At 50.5% G+C, this 19,511-nt stretch overlaps 1 protein-coding gene across 1 annotated transcript; it reads right to left on the reverse strand.

Annotated features, from left to right (window-relative positions):
* On the reverse strand, positions 146–7,533 carry MRGPRE (MAS related GPR family member E). Its single transcript, NM_001039165.4, has 2 exons — positions 7,257–7,533; positions 146–3,976 (listed from the first exon to the last, which is right to left on the reverse strand). Exon 2 carries the CDS (start codon positions 3,913–3,915, stop codon positions 2,977–2,979), a length of 939 nt encoding a protein of 312 aa, NP_001034254.2. The 5' UTR covers positions 3,916–3,976; positions 7,257–7,533; the 3' UTR covers positions 146–2,976.
* Between the last annotated feature and the right edge of the window lie 11,978 nt (positions 7,534–19,511).

Genomic DNA, 19,511 nt, shown 5'->3' on the forward strand with positions numbered 1-19,511 from the left:
CCTTGGGAGCTGCCAGGAGCAGCCTCTCTCCAGCTGGGCATCATGCGGGCACCGTCAGGGGGGATGGGGTGTGTTTCAGAGGAAAAGCATCAGGGCTGTGGAAGAATTGCGCGCTTTCATGAGAACAACAAAACTAAAGCCGTGGTCATGTTTTAAGTGTGATGTTTGGTTTTATTTTTCCAGCGTGTGAGCTAATGAACTAGCTGAGGAGTGAGCCTGCCTCTCCCCGTGAAGACGCCATGCAGCGCAGGCTGATTTACAGACTCGTACCCGGGCGCTGGGGAGGGGATAGGGAAGCTGGCCGCAGGCCTGTCTCCGCTCCTGTCCTCACACACACAGTCCTCACCCACAGCCTCCCTGGGCCCTGAGGACGGAGCGGGTTACACAGGCTCCCTGGAATGTTGGCTGCCCCCAGGAGTAGCCGCCTGTTCTTGGGAATTCTGTGCTGACCGCGGCAGCCCCGCAGGGGCCCGGGGTTGCGGGTGGATGGGGTGGGCTGGGCACTGACCGAGGAGCTTTGCCTGCGACCCAGGTGGAGGTGGCCTTTGAGCAGTGAGGCCCCAGGGTCCTGCAGGGTGGGGTCTAGGGCAGCCAGGGGTCCCTGGTGGGGCCTTGTGGCTCTGGGGGCAGAAGAGGAGGTGCAGCGGGGGAGGTCAGAGGAGGCGCAGGCTGGGCAGGGGCAGGTGGGAGCCTGGACGGAAGCTCAGCCTCCAGTTTGGAGGCCAGCCCACATGGTCCTAATGTCCTGAGGGCTCAAGGACCACAGAACTGGAGGCCAAGCTGGCACATCTGGGGCCAAGGGGATACCCCACCAGCATCCTGGGCCATCAGGCCATATACCTGCTGCCACAGCAGCTACTAGAGTGGGGACGAGCTGGGCCCAGTTTCCATGGAGACCTCAGATGAGGCCACATTTCCCGGACTCCTCGAGAAGGGGCTAATAAGGAGGAATCTAGAGCCACTCCAATCCCCTGGATGCTGAGAGCAGGCTCTCTGGGAAGAAGTGAGCATTCTAAGGGTCCGCAATCTCTCTGAACCCTTATGCAGCAAAGGGGTCTGCGTGGGGATGGGGCCAGGGTTGGGGGAGCCAGTGTGGGGCTGAGGACACCTGAGCCAGCCCTGGTCCAGTGAGGCGGAGCGTGTGGCGTGGGAGGGTGGTGCTGGGAGTCACCTTCTGGCTTTGCAGCTTTCCTGTGGTCCTGAACGGCCACATAGCCCCTCGGAGCCTTGGTGGCTCATCTGCAGAGTGGGAGCACCTTCCTACATTATTACGAGGATTCCCCGGGAACACGTCCACGGTGAGGTCATGTCCGTGAGATGAATCTGTGCTTTTCCTCCTGGTTCTTCCTTGTTCTGGGGGAAGTTTATGTCCTGGGGCTGAAAGTGGAATTTGTGGACAGGCCACTTCCCTTTCTGTTCTTGTTTCTCCAGCTGAGGAACTGAAGTTGCTAATCACGTCCTGGAGGTGGGGAGAGAGGGCCCTGTGCAGATCCTGGGCTGGAGATAATTTGGGAGGAGGTAAGTCCCCAAGTGGGGGCTGGAGGTGCTCTAGGAGAGGTGGGTCCAGCCCCTGGGGCTCCCAGTCTCAAGGGATACCTGGACCCAGGCCTGCTGGGCACGTGCGGGAGCCTGAGGTGAACGCACTGTGTGGGCTGGGAGGGGCCCGGTGCAGCCGGATTCCAGGGTGCTGACCAGGGATCTGCGACTCACACCCAGACTCAAGAGGGGCTGGTTCAGTCATGGTCCAGAGGGAATGTCCTTCCATCACCAGCCATGGAGGCCGGAGTCAGAAATCAAAGAAAACACTCTCAGATGCCTTGGTCTGTGGCTAAGAATTGCACTGTGGACTTGGATGTGTGGCGTTGGTGGCAGTAGAATCGACAGACATTTCTCTTGGGCTCACGAGAGGCTGGACAGGCCTCAAAGCACTGGGTTCTCATATTTTACAGACCAGCAAACAGAGGCGTAGGGATGTTCAGAGATGGCCTTGGCAGCACAGTGGGGTGGCTAGCGGGGCTCAGCCCAGGCTGTGGGCTCCAAAGCCCCCACTCTAGCACCCCTGGCACATGCTCCTGGATGGCAGCCAGGCCTGGCACTCAGCGGAAGCTCGGAAACCTGTTGAGGGGTGAAGCCTGGGTTCCTTCCTCAGAGGGATCCTCTGGAGCGGGACTTGCTCAGGACAGAGGCGGGTGAACTGCCTTGGATGGGGCCGGTGTGAAGCTTTCTGGTTGCTGAAGACCTGGGTCCTGTGGGGAGACAGGGCTGCAGGCTGCTGGGTGGGGCTGTAAGAAGCCTCTCCACCCACCCAGGGTGCACCCTCCTAATATCCAGGGACACCCATGGGGCCGGCTTTTCTGAAGCTCCGAGTGAGGGTTGCATCGTCCCGGTCTGAGGTGCACGGCCTTGAGCAACTGGCTGATGATCAAGGACGGGGAGGGGGTCAAGTTTTGGGCAGTCTTCCATTTTAGGGTCAATTTAGCTTCCACAGCGGGCACAAGGCGAGCTGAGGGGATGGTTGTGTTATCTGTGGGTGCACCTGCAGCATTGAGGAAGCTGGAGTGGGAGGGGAGGTGGCCTGCGGAAAGGCCTGGACCTGCCCCTCACCTGGCGTCTGGCCTTGCTTCCTTGCTTTCCGGGGTCTCCTCACTGCAGCTGAGCAGGGAATGGGTAGCAGCAGCAGCTCTCGAGTGCCAGTGCGTGAACCGTTGGGGAGGTTTCCCAAAAATGCACGTTCCTCGGCCTTCTCCCCAGAGACCCGGCCCGCCTGCCTGGGCATGTAGAGACCTTGCCTTTCCAGCTGCCTCCCAGGGGAGCCTCATGCTCCAGACCAAGGGTCACAACTTTGACAGCACATGACCGGGTCACCCACCAAGGCCTCCTCCAGGTCCGGCTGGCCCCAGCCTCTGACCCCACCACCTTCCCCAAGTCACCCTCTTGCCTCACGGGGGCTGCAGCTGGGGTCGGGGGCCCCAGGGCTCAGGCTGCTATGTCCACCAGGCCCCGGCGGGAGGTCTCCCTGACGGCCCCCAGCTCAGCCTCGTCTCCCAGCGCTCGCTGGAGGACCAGCCGGAGGGGCAGCCTGCGGCCCTGGGCACTGCCCAGGCAGAAGTAGACGACGGGCTTGGCCGCGCAGTGCACGGCGGCCATGAGGAAGCTGAAGTGGTAGAAGTAGTGGGGGATGTACCAGAGCAGGTTCCGGGACAGCCAGTAGATGCCGAAGGGCAGGCCGCAGAAGAGGAAGAGGAGGACGGTGAGGAGGATGAGCCCAGGGAAGCCCCGGGGTGGGGGCCGCTGGGGGCCTCGCTCCACCCGCAGCAGCAGCATAAGGCTGGCCCCACACATGGTGCAACACAGCAGAGCCAGCAGCACCGCTGCCACCAGCCACAGCGTCCGGCACAAGTGGCGGCTGGGCTCCCCGAAGAACTGGGTGCAGGCGCCGCTGAGCAGCAGGTGCAGCAGCAGGCAGAGGGCCCAGGTGAGGGCGCACACACAGGTGGTCAGGTGGCGTGGGCGGCGGCACGAGTACCAGGCTGGGAAGAGGGCGGCCAGGCACTGCTCCACGCTGACGGCCGCCAGGAGACTCAGGCCCACGATGTAGCAGAAGAAGCGCAGCGTTGCCAGGCTGGTCTGCACGAAGCCCGGGAAGTCCAGCCGGCCTTGCAGCAAGTCGGGGACGATGGCCACCATGTGGCAGCCAAGGAAGATGAGATCCGCGCAGGCCACGTCCAGGAGGTAGATGGCGAAGGGGTTTCTGTAGACATTGGAGCTGAGCAGCCAGAGGACTGCCCCATTCCCCAGCAGCCCACCGAGGCCGAGCCCCTCGGTGAGGGACAGGATGATGAGGTTGAAGGCCACATCCTCCTGGGCGCCGTTGGCGGCCCCCACGTGCTGTCCAGCTTCTCTGGGCTCCATCATGGGGCGGGGGGCCAGGGGATGCTGCAGGAGTGTGTTCTGCTCGCTCTCTCTCCTGATGCCCCTGTAAACCACAACAGTTGAGTCTGGGGCTCAGGAATCCATGCCCCCTGCTCCTCCCCACATCAGGGGAGATGAGAGTTGGGTGGGTGACCAAGGGAATGGTGAGACCCTCCAGGAGAAGACCCCTCTCTCATTTCCACCCTCAGCCACCTGACCTAAGCTTCTCTTCCCTAAGACACTCAGGAGGAAGGTGTCCCCATTCCTCCCCTCCCCATGGTTACCTGGCCTCAAGAGCCTTCCGTGGGGCTGGTCCCTGTAGGCCAGGTGGGGGCAGGGACCAGGAGATGTGGGGAGAGGGTCTGAGACCCATGGGGCTCCCTGTTGCTAGTGGTGCCTTGATCCTCAGAATGGGCTTTTTTTTTTTTTTTTTTTTTTTTTTTTTGGAGATGGAGTCTGGCTCTGTTGCCCCAGGCTAGAGTGCAATGGCACCATCTCGGCTCACTGCAACCTCTGCCTCCCGGGTTCAAGTGATTCTCCTGTCTCAGCCTCCCGAAGAGCTGGGATTACAGGCGTGCATCACCATGCCCAGCTAATTTATTGCATTTTTAGTAGAGACAGGGTTTCACCATATTGGCCAGGCTGGTCTCGAACTCCTGACCTCGTGATCCGCCTGCCTTGGACTCCCAAAGAATAAAATATGACTTATTTTAAAGTCATAGGCAGAGCAGGAGGCACCGCCCATGTCTAATGAGTGGTGTGACCACAGAGGGACAGCTTACAGTGGCTGTGGGGCTTTTCGTCATCATCTTAAAGCAGCCCTCAACTCTTTGAGGCCTTTCCTTGACATCCATGAGGGGTTGTTTGCCAGTGGGCTCCCAGTCCCCAGCCCTCCAGCTTGGTCACACCATGCAGCCACATCAGGGCCACAGGAAAACTCCCTTTCCCCTGGCCATGTCCCTGCTGTCCTACAGCAGGACTCCAGCCCTCTGCAGGGTAGGGGGCACATGAGGAGGCTGCATCCTGCTCAACGTTGCCCGCCCTTTCCCCATGGGGAGAAGAGGGAGCTGTCTGATGATGGGGCTGGGAGGGGCCCTGAGCTTCCATGGCGTCTCCAGCCTCCCTCCATCCCCTCCCAAGGCAGTCGGCTCACGGGGACAGGTCCTGCGGGAGGGGTACTGAGTCCTGGGAGGCAGCACAAATCCCAGGGGACCTAGGCTGGAATCGGAGTCTTCATCACAGCTTTGCCAGAAATACAGCAAGTAATAGACTCTAGGAGACTGCCAGGTGCTCAGAGCCGGAGACATGCCTGCAGATACCCGGCCCCATGCTGCCCCTGTGGTTACCTGGCCCGTCATGTGTCTCTGAGTGCTTGGTGACCCCAGCTTCTCCTCTTGGGGTTGGGGGAGAGGGGATGGGGCCTTGCCTCTCCCCAGAGACTGGCTGGGGTCAGGGGCCGACACCAGGTGCCCCTCCCACCTTGGTGGTGGCTGGTCCTCCTGTGTCCTGGGAGGGCTGGGGTTTGGGGTGAGGAGGGTGGGGGTACAAGCAGAAACCCCCATAGCTGGTCTTAGCGGCTTCTTCCCACCTCAAGGTTGTGCTCAGAACCCCTGCTGTCTCCCTCCAGTGATAGGAGCACCCGAGACCATGCAGGGGGACGCTGCGGTGCTGGGATGCTGGGGAGAGGTGGCCCGGGGCGGGGCTATCGCTGAGCACAGAGGTGCCAGCCACCCCGTGAGGTGCTGGTCATCTCCCTCGGCTTACACCCTCAGCTCTGTGGTCTTTTGTTTGACTGGGGTGAAATGACAGCCTGAGGTTGTCCCCGCCTCAGGGGTGGGCATGGGGGTGGGGGGCTCAGTGGAGAGGAGGCCCCAGTCCCAGCACCTCAGGAAGCTGAGTCCTGCCCGTGGTCCAGTCTGAATCTCCTGCGGGTGGAGTCAAGCCTGGTTGGAGATATAGGGCTCTTCCTCCTGTCCCTGTGCTCCATCCTAGCACCCAAGGCCCCGGGAAGGCAGACCATGGGTGGGAGGTGAGGTGGTGGTGGAGGGAGCCCCACCTGGGCCAGCATCATCAGGAGGACACCCTGAGTGGGGCAGACGGGGCATCACTGCCATGGCAGGTGGGGAGATGTGGGGAGGGGGACAGATGCTCTCCTACTCAGGATAGCTTGGGGGGGTCACCAACCCTCAGGCCCAGAGGGAGGCAGAGATGAGTTTTGGGAGGTCTTAAGTCTGTTGATGGTGGACCCCCTCCCAGGCACAAGTCCCGTCCACCCATGGACGGAGCTATCTCCGGGATCTACCAGCAAGCTCCAGCCCCAAAGCAACAGGTGGGGTTTCTCCAGCCTGTGGCCCACCAAGGGCCATGGTCCCTCTCCTATCTCACCTCCTGCATGGCTGAGGAGGACACGGGCCTCATGGGTGGGCCCCAGGGAGAGAGCATGGCAGGGAAGCGATGGACATAGAGGGAGAGGGGAGAGTGCAGGAAGGGGAGAGGCATGAAGAGATGGGGGACAGAGAAGGAAACAGGGAGGAGAACAGGGGGACAAGGGGTTAGAGCCACGGAGCTCAGCCAGACCCTGCTGCTGCCCCCTCTCTGCTGTGACCCTGGAGGAGGTCTCCCTGTGGGACCATGTGCCCCACTGGGGGCTCGGGAGGGAGGCAGAGCTCTGTAGGAAGGGTCGCCACAGTTGGGTTACAGGACTGTGGGGAGTAGAGGAGTTTGTTGCATCCTTGGTGAGCAGGAGGAAGAGGAGAGGGAGGAGAAGGAGGGGAGGAGGCGGGGGAGGACGATGGAAGAGAACAGGAGGGAGGAGGAGGAGGGGGAGGAGAAGGAGGGGAGGAGGCGGGGAAGGACGATGGAACAGAAGAGGAGGGAGGCACAGCATTCCCCATCCCTGGGTGGTCCAGGAGTGGCTCTGTGTCCCGCCCAGACAGCCAATACTGAGAAGCCCTGAGGCTGAGCACCCAGGTGTGGCAGGGAGGAGAGGGCCTATCCCCGGCTGCCCCCATGACTCCCCTTGAGAGTCTGCACCTGCAGGGAACACTCTAGATCATGGAGGAAGCAAGGCAGACAGGAGACAGAGCCACCGGGGGTGGGGGGTTGGGGAGCCATCACCCAAGCTATCGTCCTCTTCCAGACTCAGCCCAGGGCTGGCTGCGGACCAGGTGGTGCGGCCCGTCAGAGGGCGGAGGCTGCAGCCTGGAGAGCTCCCTGTTGATAGCATCTGCTGTTGCCCACGCCCCACCCCTGCCACCATCTGGCCAGCAAAAGAGCCCAGAAAATGCCGAGCGCCTGGGCCGGCCCCAGAGACCCACCCTGATCCAGCCACCTGCGCTACTCACCGTTTGGGGCAGAGGACTGGCCGAGCCCTGCCTGCTCTGACCCTGGGCCTTGGATCTATCCTGGCCGCGGCCGAGGGCTCCAGTCCCCAGAGCCTCTGGGCGGCTCCTGTTCAGTGTCCACCAGCTCCTCCGAGTCACATGGCATCCAGCTGGAATGGGGCCGGTCAGGAAGGTGTCTCTCTGAGGACCCCTTCTCTTCCGCTCAGCTCTCGCCCAGGTGTGGACAGCAAGAGAAACCCTGAACCTCCCTGCAGCCTTCCAGGCAGGCCTGGCAGGCAGAGGAAACCACGAGATCTCTGGGTGGAGCCCAGCCAAGCTGTGACTTCACTGGCACTCCTGGCTCAGAGACACCAAGCCCTGTAGGGCCCTTTAGGGACCACTTCTTTCCATCTGTGCCTCGGAGGGGCCGGCTGAGAGCCGGGCTACCGGCGGAACTTGTCCTTGCAGCAAAAATGTGTTTTTCTCTCCGCAGAGCACAGGCTGCCGGCCCCAGCTCTCCAGGCAGTGTGGGACCGCGGGGAGGAGCGGGGATGTGCGTGAGGCCGTCCCTCCTGCCTCGTTCGCAGGCACAGAGTAGATGGCCGGTGTCAAGAAGCTGCCGCGCGGTCCCCGGCCGAGGAGAATCAAACACATACAGCAGCGTCAGGCTCCGGGAGACCTCGTGAACTCAGTGATTTCAAGTCCCGTTTCAGACCGTGCCTTTCCTTCCAGTGCCCTGCCTTAAGGGAGATCGCAATTGACGTGCCAAGAGAAGGAAAACAAGGTCATTTTTTGGCCTCTGTTCCTCCCCGAGTCCAGGCCCTAGCAACTCTTTTCTCATCTTTGTCTTTAGAAAAATCTCCGAGGTAGAGAAGAGTGCAGAAACAGCACGGATTTGCTCCGGAGCGTTTCCCACTCTGCGCAGTCCGCCTGACCTCTCCTCTTGCGGACCAAGTGAGAGCAAGTTTCCCGCACGTGGCCTTTGACCTGTCACTACATCAGCAGGCATCCCCCAGGGCACCGGCATCCTCCATCCCCAAAACGGAGGGGCCGCACACAGGTCGTCTGGCGTCTGTGCAATGCTGGTGTCTGATGAATGTGTCGCGCTGGTGTCTGACGTCCATGCGGGGCTGGTATCTGACAGGCAGCAGTGCCGCTTGCTGAGTTGTGTCTCAGCTTCAAATCCTCCCTTCCTAAACCAGGATCCGAGCTGCCAGGTGCCCGAGGCTCTGTAAACCATGCCTGGGCTCTGCCACCGCTCTGGGAGGCCCTACCAGTGGGTGGTCACTCAAGGATGGCCCAGGGGTGTGGGGGAAGTGCTCCCAATCGCCCCACACGTTCCAAATATCTCACCCTTCTAAGTGCCACACTCCCTCCAGTTGTCCCACAGTTCCAATAGTGCCACTCCTTTCAATTGTCCATCCCACCCTTTCATAAGTTCCATGCCTTCCACTTGTCTTACACCTTAAAGCTGTCCCACCCTTCCAAATGCCCGACCCTTCCAATTGTCCCACTCCTTCCAACTGTCCCACTCTTCCATTTGTCCCACTCTTCCATTTGTCCCACTCCTTCCAATTGTCCCACTCTTCCAATTGTCCCACTCCTTCCAATTGTCCCACTCTTCCATTTGTCCCACTCCTTCCAATTGTCCCACTCTTCCATTTGTCCCACTCCTTCCAATTGTCCCACTCTTCCAATTGTCCCACTCCTTCCAATTGTCCCACTCTTCCATTTGTCCCACTCCTTCCAATTGTCCCACTCTTCCATTTGTCCCACTCCTTCCAGTTGTCCCACCCTCCAATTATCCCACCTTCCAATTGCATTAGCCTTCCAACTGTCCCACCCTTCCAATTTTCCCACTCTTTCCAATTGTCCCAGCCTTCCAATTGCCTCATCCTTTTAATTATCCCACTCTTTTAGTTGTCCCCCTCCTTCCAATTGCCCCATTCTTTCCAATGGTCCCACTTTTTAAATTGCCCTTCCCTTGCAATTGTCCCCCTCTTTCAATTGACCCACCTTTCCAATGGTCTTACCTTCCAATTGATCCACCTTTCCAATGGTCTCACCTTCCAGTTGTCCCACTCCTTCCAGTTGTCCCACTCCTATCAATTGTACTGCCTTCCAATTGCCTCACTCTTCCAATTGTCCCACCCTTCCAATTTCCCCACAGTTTTAATTGTCCCACTCTTTCAATTGTCCCACCCTTCCAATTGTCTCACCGTTCCAATTGTCCAACCCTCCCAATTGTCCCACTCCTTCCAATTGTTCTACCTTTTTAATTGTCCTACCATTCTAGTTGTCCCACCCTTCCAACTGTCCCACTCTTCCAATTGTCCCACCCCTCCTATTGTCCCACTCCTTCCAGTTCCCCTACCCCTCCAATTGTCTGACTCTTTCCAATTAGTCCATCTTCCTTTATGTTTTCGAGCTTCACTTTCACTCCCTGTCAGAGTTGCCCCAGCAACTCTCTCTCTCTCTCTTTTTGAGACAGAATGCCACTCTGTTGGCCAGGCTGAGGTGCAGTGGCATGATCACAGCTCACTGCAGCCTCCAACTTGCAAGCTGAAGCATTTTTTCCTCAGCTTCCTGAGTAGCTGGGACTTCAGGCATGCACCAAGTGCCAGGCTACCAGAGGCTTGTCTGGCTAATTTTTAAATTTTTAACTTTATAGAGATAGGGTCTCGATACATTGCCTAGGCTTGTCTCTAGTTCCTGATCTCAAGCAATCCTCCTGCCTTGGCCTCCGAAGGTGCTGGGATTATAGCTGTGAGCCACCATGCCTGGCCCGCAGCAACTTTCTCCACCTTGTAGCAGCAGTGGACTTCTGCAGTTTTCCCAGCACTTGAAAAACCAGACCCATTGTTTCCTGTTGGAGACACTGGCCACTAACTGGCTGGGAGCCCCCTCAGGGGCCTGAATTACACTCTAGTCGTCCCCACTGGTCCTAAATTTCAATAGTTTTAACTTCCTTCCTTTGTTCCCCGTGCCCGGGGTGGCGGCTCTTTTTGCAGTTGTTTCTTCTCTAATACCTTAGTGTTCCCTTTGTACGTGTTTGGTTTTTCAGTCTCTAGTGAACAATTCTTTAAGATCATCCCTTCAAAATTATAGGTAGCTTCTGCCTACTGACTGTGTCCCTGCTGGTACTGAAAGGTCCTAGGGGAAACATGGTAATTTAGGCTTGGTTTGGTCATGTCCTTGGCCTTGACTGTCGTGATGAGTTTCTGGTCAGTGACACTGGTGATCCATGCCACTCTGTGGCTCATCATCAATCAAACAAGCACTTGTGATGGGTTATGTTGAAGTCAGTGCCTTGGGGGACCATTTGCCTATTGGACTTGATCATCATAACATTCATGGGGACCAGGAGCACTGTGGCATGTGACAGGATTGGAGCTTCAAGAAAGAGGATGACGACTTCTACTTCTGGTTCTAAAGGGGCAATAGGGGCTGGAATCACCCTCCCATTATAAAAATCTAAAAAACCAAAACACGGTTTGTGAATTTAGACAACAGGCCGAGCAGGACTGTGGTCCCAAGAAAATGGAAGCTGATGGGCACGCCCTATGCTCACCCAAACTTTCTGTCTGGAGGTGGCTTCCGGACTGCAACACAGGCCAGAAGAGGCAAAGGGGCTCAGCAGGTTAAATGCCAAATCAGGAGAAGGTTGAAAACAACACAGGTAAGACTGGCAGTCAAGACAACAGCAAATGGACAAGCTGTAGAGAAAAGCAATGACATCAAAGGTGTTTTATTTAAGATGATTAATAAAATGGAATAACCTTGGATGGACTGATTAAGAAAACAAAAAGTGCTTGAGCTCAGGAGTTCGATACTAGGATACTAGCCTGGGTGACATAGCACAATCCTGACTCTACAAAAAATACAAAACAAACAAACAAACAAACAAAAAAAACAAAATTGTCTAGGTATGGTGGTGCATGTCTGTGGTCCCAGCTACTCAAGAGAGGGAGGCTGAGGTGGGAGAATGGCTTGAGCCTGGGAGGTTGAGGCTGCAGTGAGCCAAGATCAGGCCACTGCACTCCAGCCTGGGTGACAGAGCAAGACCCTGTCTCAAGAAAAGAAAAAAAAAAAAAAAGAAAAGAAAAAAGAGAAACTGCAAATCACCTATATATTGGTAACGAAAGAGGGGATACCACTACCGGTCCCAGATACTTAAATGGTAAAGGTGGAATGTAAAAATAAACTGTATGCCAATAAGCTTGACAATTTGGATGAAATGGTCAAATTCTTTGAAAGACACAATGAAAACATGAATAGTTCTCAATATGAAAACAATGAGCTCGTAATTTAACACTTTCTCTCAAATAAGTCTCTAGTTCCAAATTGCTTCACTGGCAAATCTATAAGATAGACAAAAAATAAATAATCCCAACCCTGCAAAACTCTTTTAGAAAACAGGAGTAAGGAACATGCCAATTCATTTTAGGAGGCCAGCATTAATCTAATAATCTGATATACAAACTGGACAAAGACATTCTAAGAACAAAAAACTACAGACCAATATTGTCATGAACATAGGCTCAAAACACTTCATATAATATAAGGAAGAATTGTAAGCCATTTGAGTTTATCTTAGAATGATGAAGGATTTATAAGGTGTAACTGGGGTTTTGCTTTTTTTAAATGTGAGGGAATTTATATCAGTTGAATTGTTTGGACTTTTTCCTGCTTTTTCTTCCAGAACCTTTGTATAGATGAAGACTATGTCTCTGCATTTTTGTGCGTAAGGATGGCAAGATAGAGTGGTTTAAAAGATGCCAGTTTATGAGCTTCTTTTTTGGTCAGTCTTGGAAAACATAATTTTTTTTAGAGCAGGGTGGGGGGCATACAGTGAGAGAAGAGAATTTTTTGTCCTGCAAACTTTTGATTTTTTTCGTCTTGCAAAATACTAGCCCCCTCCCTTTTCCTCTACTGTATTGTTTCCAAAGAAGACTTCTGTCTTCCTCTTGAGCCTTTTCAAAAGCTTCCTAGAGTTCTCCCTCATCATTTAGCCATTGCGCTGATCTGCCAATTATTGAGAAAAAGAGTCAAACTCTAAAATATTTGAAGAGATTCATTCTGAATCAATTATGAATAACCAATGGCCTGTGACAGCCCCAGGGGATCCTGAGAACATGTGCCCAGGTGTTTGGGGTGCAGCTTAGTTTTACACATTTTAGAGGGACAGAAGACATCAATCAATACATGTAAGATGTACATTGGTTCAATCTGGAAAGGCGGGACAACTCCAACAGGGGCTTCCACATCATAGGTGGATTCAAAGATTTTCTGACTGGTTAAAAGAGTTATTATGTAAAAGACCTGGAATCAATAGCAAGGGATACATGGCTTAAGGTAAGGGGTAAAATACTTTGATTTCTATCAGGGCCTGCTATCTGACATTACAGCGGTATCTTATGGCTACGAAGGGTCTGTTTTGTCAGCCTTAAGTTCTTGTTTTAATGTGAATGCTGGTCAGCTGTGCCTGAATTCCAAAGGCAGGAAGGTATGAGGCATGTCTGACCACCCATTCTCATCATGGCCTGAACTAATGTTTCAAGTTTACTTTAGAATGAATGCCCTTCCATTCAGTTGGTTGGGGAACTTGGAATTTTATTTTTGGTTTATATTCTCCTCCTCTGGCCAAGACTTGCCAGAGGCAACATCAATGGCCACCAAACTTTTATTTTGTCCCATAGCGTTACTGGGTGTTTCGGCTGCCTGTCCTGGGTCCATTGTGACCCTCAGTGGGACCCCTATGGCCAAGGGGCTTAGAGTCAAAAGACTCACAGCCAATTTAAACATTCTAGGCCAGAAGGGAATGGAGGTGGATGGGCACTCATCAACCCTTAAAATTCCACCAAACTGTTTGTATATGTATAAATATGTATACACACACACACACAAATACATACATATGTATATATATAAATTTATGCAGATATATCTAATTGTATAAATCTCATAACTGGGAGTATTATACCCAAGAGGCTTTGTCATGAGGTGTCTTTATATATTCTCAGTAATTTTCTTTGAATTCTATGGAAAACAGTAAATTCTTTATGGTTGAGATGGATGAAAACAGGCCACATAATAACCCAGGAGGCAAAGTCCCTTTTTTTGCCACTGATTCAGGCATCTCTGCCCAACCTTGATTTGGAGGATCTGAATGAATTCTGTCTCCCTAAATTGGCCCTTACAATCTCACATGCCTGCCTCATTTGTGACAGTCGTGGGCCTAGAGGAAGAGTGCTGGTATAATTTTAGCAGCAGGTATTTGCAGTGAAAAACAGCTCGGGCCCAGTGAGATGCCAATGAGGGAGAGTTGCACCTCTATTTTTCAGAATACCATATTCTGGTTTCCTCGGAAGTAAAACAAAGAGAGATAAACAACATTAATAATTTGACAATCAAAAGAGAATGTGTGTGTCAGAAGAGAAAAAGGAATCTATTCCATTAGGGCACTGACTAAAAGCATCACGAAGAAAATGATAACCTGGCTCATCTTTAGAGGATTATTATAGCCAAGAAATAATTCATGATTCAATCCACACTAACAAACAAAAGTCAGGGCTGGAATCTAGTAATGGGTGTAGTATAGTTTTCCTTTGAAAAAATTTCCCTTTCTCTAGCCTTCCTTTTCTACTAAAGAGAAATTGTAGTAAGACCAATCTGTGTGCAAAACAAGTTTTAGGCTTATTATACTTCCCTGATTATAAAGTGCAGCAAGAACCAATTGGCCATACCGGCCCCTTTCAAGTTGACTTTGCTGGAACTTTACCTAAAAATATATTATTCCAGTCAAAGCCTTGGTAAAATAACCAGGGTCTCCAATTGTGTCCCATTTCAAAAGAAAACATTCTTACTAAACCTATGCAAACAACTAAATGCCATAAAATCAGAATATTCGCTAATAGTGTCTGAATTTTGAAGAATTCAGATAGAGAGAAAGGTACACTTACTCATAAAAACTTACTTTACCCGATTGCTCTAAACTATAAATAACTCAAAAGAAGAAGCTTTCCGGCCGAGCGCGGTGGCTCACGCCTGTAATCCCAGCACTTTGGGAGACTGAGGTGGGTGGATCATGAGATTAGGAGTTTGAGACCAGCCTGGCCAATATGGTGAAACTCCGTCTCTACCGAAAATACAAAAATCAGCCGGGCATGTGGGTGTGTGCCTGTCATCCCAGCTACTCGGGAGGCTGAGGCAGAAGAATCGCTTGAACCTGGGAGGCGGAGGTTGCCGTGAGCCGAGATTGTGCCACTGCACTCCAGCCTGGGCGACAGAGCAAGACTCCGTCTCAAAAAAAAATAAAAAATAAATAAAAATAAAAAAATTAAAAATTAAAAAAAAAAAAAAGAAAAGAAAAAGCTTTCCTTGAGTCTTCCTGAACCAGAGCAGCAGCTTCCAAACAAGATGTCGTGTGTTCGCCTTGGAGCTGTCATACGCTAAGCAGCTCTTGTCAGTCAGATGAGAGCCGTCAGGCACTGTAGAACCCAGCAGCTCCTCACATTGAGTCATTCCTAGGGGAAAAACAGGCTCCCTGCTCCTGAGTATCTCCTCCTTGCATTCCCCAGGCAGCCATATCCTATATAAACCATTTTTGTTTTACCATACAACTCTTTTGGGCACCATTGATTCCATTAGCATGGGGTTAGCTTCACTTAACATCCCACAGCAAGCCAGAAAATGCCCCTCAGGTGGAAATTCTCGAGTCCAAAGTCCCAGCAGTTCATTGGGAAGTGCTCACAGCCTTTTGCCACAAGCCCCAATGAACACTCCACGGAAGACTATGAAGTGGAGGTTTTGTTCCAGCTCGCACTCCAGCTTCTACTCTATATTCTGTGGGCTCAGGCAATCTTACCAGTTCCCATTTAGCGTGTCCAATTAACATTTCTCCAAGGGCAGATTTACATACCTTCAGTTTTATAGTACTAGGTGGGAGAAACATTCCCCAGTCAGATATATAAATCAAAAAGTATCTGGAACAAATCTCAATCAATTTAGAAGTTTATTTTGCCAAGGTTAAGGACATACGCATGACAGCCTCAGGAGGTCTTGATGACATTTGGCCAAGGTGGTTGGGCTACAGCTTGGTTTTATACATTTTAGGGAGACAAAGACATCAATCAATACATGTAAGATATACATTTGTTTGGTCTGGAAAGGCAGCACAACTCAAAGTGGGGACTTACAGGTGATAGGTAGATGCAAAGATTGTCATATTGTCTATTGGTTGAAAGAGTTTATCTAAAGATCTGGATTCAATAGAAGGGACTGTCTGGGATAAGATAAGGGTTGTGGAGACCAATGTTCTTTTTTTTTTTTTTTGAGGCAGAGTCTCACTCTGTCACCCAGGCTAGAGTACAATGGTGTGATCTCGGCTCACAGCAGCTTCCACCTCCCAGGTTCAAGTGATTCTCCTGCCTCAGCCTCCCCAGTAGCTGGGATTACAGGTGCGAGCCCTCACACCCAGCTGATTTTTTGTATTTTTAGTAGAGATGGGATTTCGCCTTGTTGGTCAGGCTGGTCTCGAGCAGGGTCCTGACCTCAGGTGATCTGCCTGCCTCAGCCTCCCAAAGTGCTGGGATTACAGGTGTGAGCCATCTCGCCAGGCCAAGACCAAGGTTCTTATTATGCAGATGAAGCCTCCAGGTAGCAGGCTTCAGAGAGAATAGATTGTAAGTGTTTCGTATCAGCCTTAAGGGGTCTGTTTTTTCAATGTTAAGGTCTCTGGTTTTTTCTCCTTTTTTTTTCCGAGATAAGATCTCACTCTGCCACCCAGGCTGGAGTGCAGTGGCATGATCTCAGCTCACTGCAGCCTCAACCTCCCAGGCCCAAGTGATCCTCCCACCTCAGCCTCTTTAGTAGTTGGGACTACAGGCATGTGCCATCACAACTGGGTAATTTTTGCATTTTTTGTAGAGATGGAGTTTCACCATACTGCCCAGGCTGGTCTCGAACTCCTGAGCTCAACTAATATGCCCACCTTGGCCTCCCAAAGTGCTGGGATTACAGACATGAGCCATTGTGGCTGGCCTAGAATTTTATTTTTTGTTTACAGATACAGTACCCATTTTCATAAGGCGTTTAGGTAAAGGAGTCACAACTACTTTACATAAACCTGTTTAAACATCTCAAAATTCATAATTCTATCATCCCTCACATTCTTATGTTCTGGTCCCAGGATTTTTTCTTCTCTACCCACAGACTATTTTACTTTTTCTGGTGAAAAAAGATTTGGGTTCCCAGCAGGGGATTGAGCCAAGGGACTCAGGCCCTTTTGTGAATCTTAATCTCATTTTTCCTTAGCATTGCCCTAGGCAATGTCAGCTTCTCATTATCACCTTTGCCTTTTGATTTTTCTTAAATTTCTCTAATCTGGGGCAAATGCCAAACAATTGGTATGGGGCCCTTTAATGTTGAGAGAGTGGTAGGAACTCCCTTTGGTCCATCCAAGCTTTGATAGTGTTGTAAAGATCTTTGTTTTAACTCCATGAATTTTCATTTTGTTTATTTCATTTTTTAATAACCATTGGAAGATTTCCACTCTTCTGGGATCAGTCCCCTGACTCCCTTTTGCATTTCCCATTTTTTTTTTGTTAACTATCTTAATGTTTTATTAGCATCTGTGAGACCCATGAAGGATAGCAAATTTGAAAAGGCTTCTCAAGACATTGTTCGATTCTGCAGAAGTAATGTCACCTGGGGTGCCCATGGAGAAGGGGTCCCCTTAACCACAGCATCTACTGTGACCTGAGTAATAGGCACATTCAGTGGGTGAATATCTGGTCATCACAAAGTCAGTCCCATATGACTTGTTTAAGAAGCATATCAACTGCTTCCTCTGGGGTGATCCACTTGGTATTTTATAGGGAAAGTTGGGCAGTCCTCTCAGGGTAAACAGCCCTTACAGTGGTGTTTATCAGGTCCACTAGGCTGGTCATTCTCTCAGCAACAACCTTCTGTGCATTTGGATCACATATACTCATCAGCAATTATCTAATAGTGAGCTGTGGGTCTACATCAACTCAAAGATGCTCTTTCATTCTGTAGCATTTGAAATTAAGGGTACTATCCTTAAAGCAGTTACTCTTACAGTCCATTTTAGTAAAGGTTTCTTAGGAAGCTGACGATACCAATCTACAAAATGGAACAATTCCTTTACATTATACCATCTAGTTTTGTTACTTGGTTTTGCCCTTCTCCAATGTTGACTCTCTTCTAGGTAACCACAGGTTCCGGAAGTACCTTTTGCTGCCCGTAATTTTTCCTTTTGCGGGTAGCTTTGAGGCTGGTGGCCTGAGCTGAGACAAACCCACATCTGAGCTTGGTCCAGCCTTAAGGCCAAACCCAATACTCATTCACTGTCATTTTACCTATCACAGATAACAATAGCCATGGGATTGAATATTTTGCTTTTGCCTTATTAGTTTGCATTTCCTTATGCATCCAGTGAACCAACTTCCTGGAGTATGATCTATCTCTAAATTCCACTGGTGGCTTTCACCTTTAGTAACTGAATGCAGTCCAGCTGTAGCTCCTTAAGATGGGTAACCATGTGGCCACCCAGGAGTCAAAGGTTTCTCATTCCCAACCCTTTCCTTTTCTTTTTATCCATTTAGTTTTGTCTATATAATTTCTCCTTTTTAGGCAGAATGTGGGACTTGACTCTGGAGGTGGGGCTTGGTCACCAGACCAAACTGAGGACTAGCTAAAACAGGGACAAGGCAAAAGCTGGTTTCCATAAGACATGCCTGCCACTGTGCCATGTCAGTTTACCATTGCGATGGCAACACCTGATGTTACCACCCCTTTTCATGGCAATGACCTGATGACCCAGAAATTACCACCCTTTTCCTAGAAATTTCTACATAACTACTGCTTAACTCACATGTAATTAAAAGTGGGTATAAATGTGAGTGCAGAACTCTGAGCTCTGCTCTGGGCACACAGCCTATGGGGTGTCCCTGCTCTGCAAGGAGCAGCACCTTTTCTGCTGCTGTGCACTGCTGCTTCAATCAAAGTTGCTGTCTAACACCACCAGCTCATCCTTGAATTCTTTCTAGGGTGAAGCCAAGAATGCTCCTGGGATAAGCCCCAGTTCTGGGGCTCACCTGCCATGCATCACTTTATTTAAGGCAACCCTTAAATAGCCTCTAAACTAGGAAAAATTACATTTTCTTTAGGAAAAACCATATCCTCATGTTTTTATAAACCTCACCAAAAACACATCTTAGTCTTCTGCTGTTATACCTCTTGATAACCCAAATTCCCAGTGAAAAACCTAAGATTACTTAATTTAACATAATATGACTACTGGAGAGAATTTTGAGATTAAATTTATCAAATTCATCTTACCAAAGACTACTAAAGTCATGTGAACTAAAAGGCATCTTAGCTAGTTTCTGTTAGTCTGATAAATACTTACTTTTCTTTAATCCAACTGATTAGAGCTCTTTCATATAAGTTGGTAGTGAAATATCACTTTCACATGTCACATATACACATATAGGCACTCCAGGCACATAAACAGAGGCAGATCCTTTGTAATCACCCCTTAAGATTTTTTATTTACCTATTTTCAAAATTTCTCTCTAAATTTATCTAAATTACTTTAGACTACTACTAAAAAAAAAGTTACAAGAGCCAACAAAAGTTGAAGAGGAGTTACCAACCCAGGCGTTCTCAAAGGGAGAAAGAGCTGAAGCAGTGGGATACAGTGGAAGTTGAACTTCTGAGACATCAATCTGAAGAATTTCAAAAAGACAGTTTATAGAATGTAAAAATGAAAAACTTGCAGTCTCATTAGGAGTAAATCAATATTTTAAGAAAATCTTGTTCTAACCAATTCTTTAGTTTTATTATTAGTGTATTTTTAATATCAAAGTCCAATTTCTAGAAAGACTATAATAATTTCCTTTTAATTATGGCCAACTCAATAACAGAACATTTAAAAAAATAAATTCATTTTTTTATGAGCCTTATTATGACTTATACAAACCCTTCGTGACATGCTTGAACTTTCTGGTTTGTACTACACACAGCTCTTTCTTAAACAATCACTCATTTTATTTCAGGACAAAAATTTACCATACAAGATTTTTTCTCATGCAAAATTATTCTTCTTTAAATCTTTCTTAACAAAAAATACTTCTTCATATTTATAACTTTTTTCTTTTGAGACAGAATCTCACTCTGTCACCTAGGCTGTAGTGCAGTGGCACAATCTCGGCTCACTGCAACCTCCACCTCCCAGATTAAAGTGATTTT

This window comes from Homo sapiens, chromosome 11, assembly GCF_000001405.40.
Source record: "Homo sapiens chromosome 11, GRCh38.p14 Primary Assembly".
In the NCBI taxonomy this organism is placed as follows: Eukaryota; Metazoa; Chordata; class Mammalia; order Primates; family Hominidae; genus Homo; species Homo sapiens.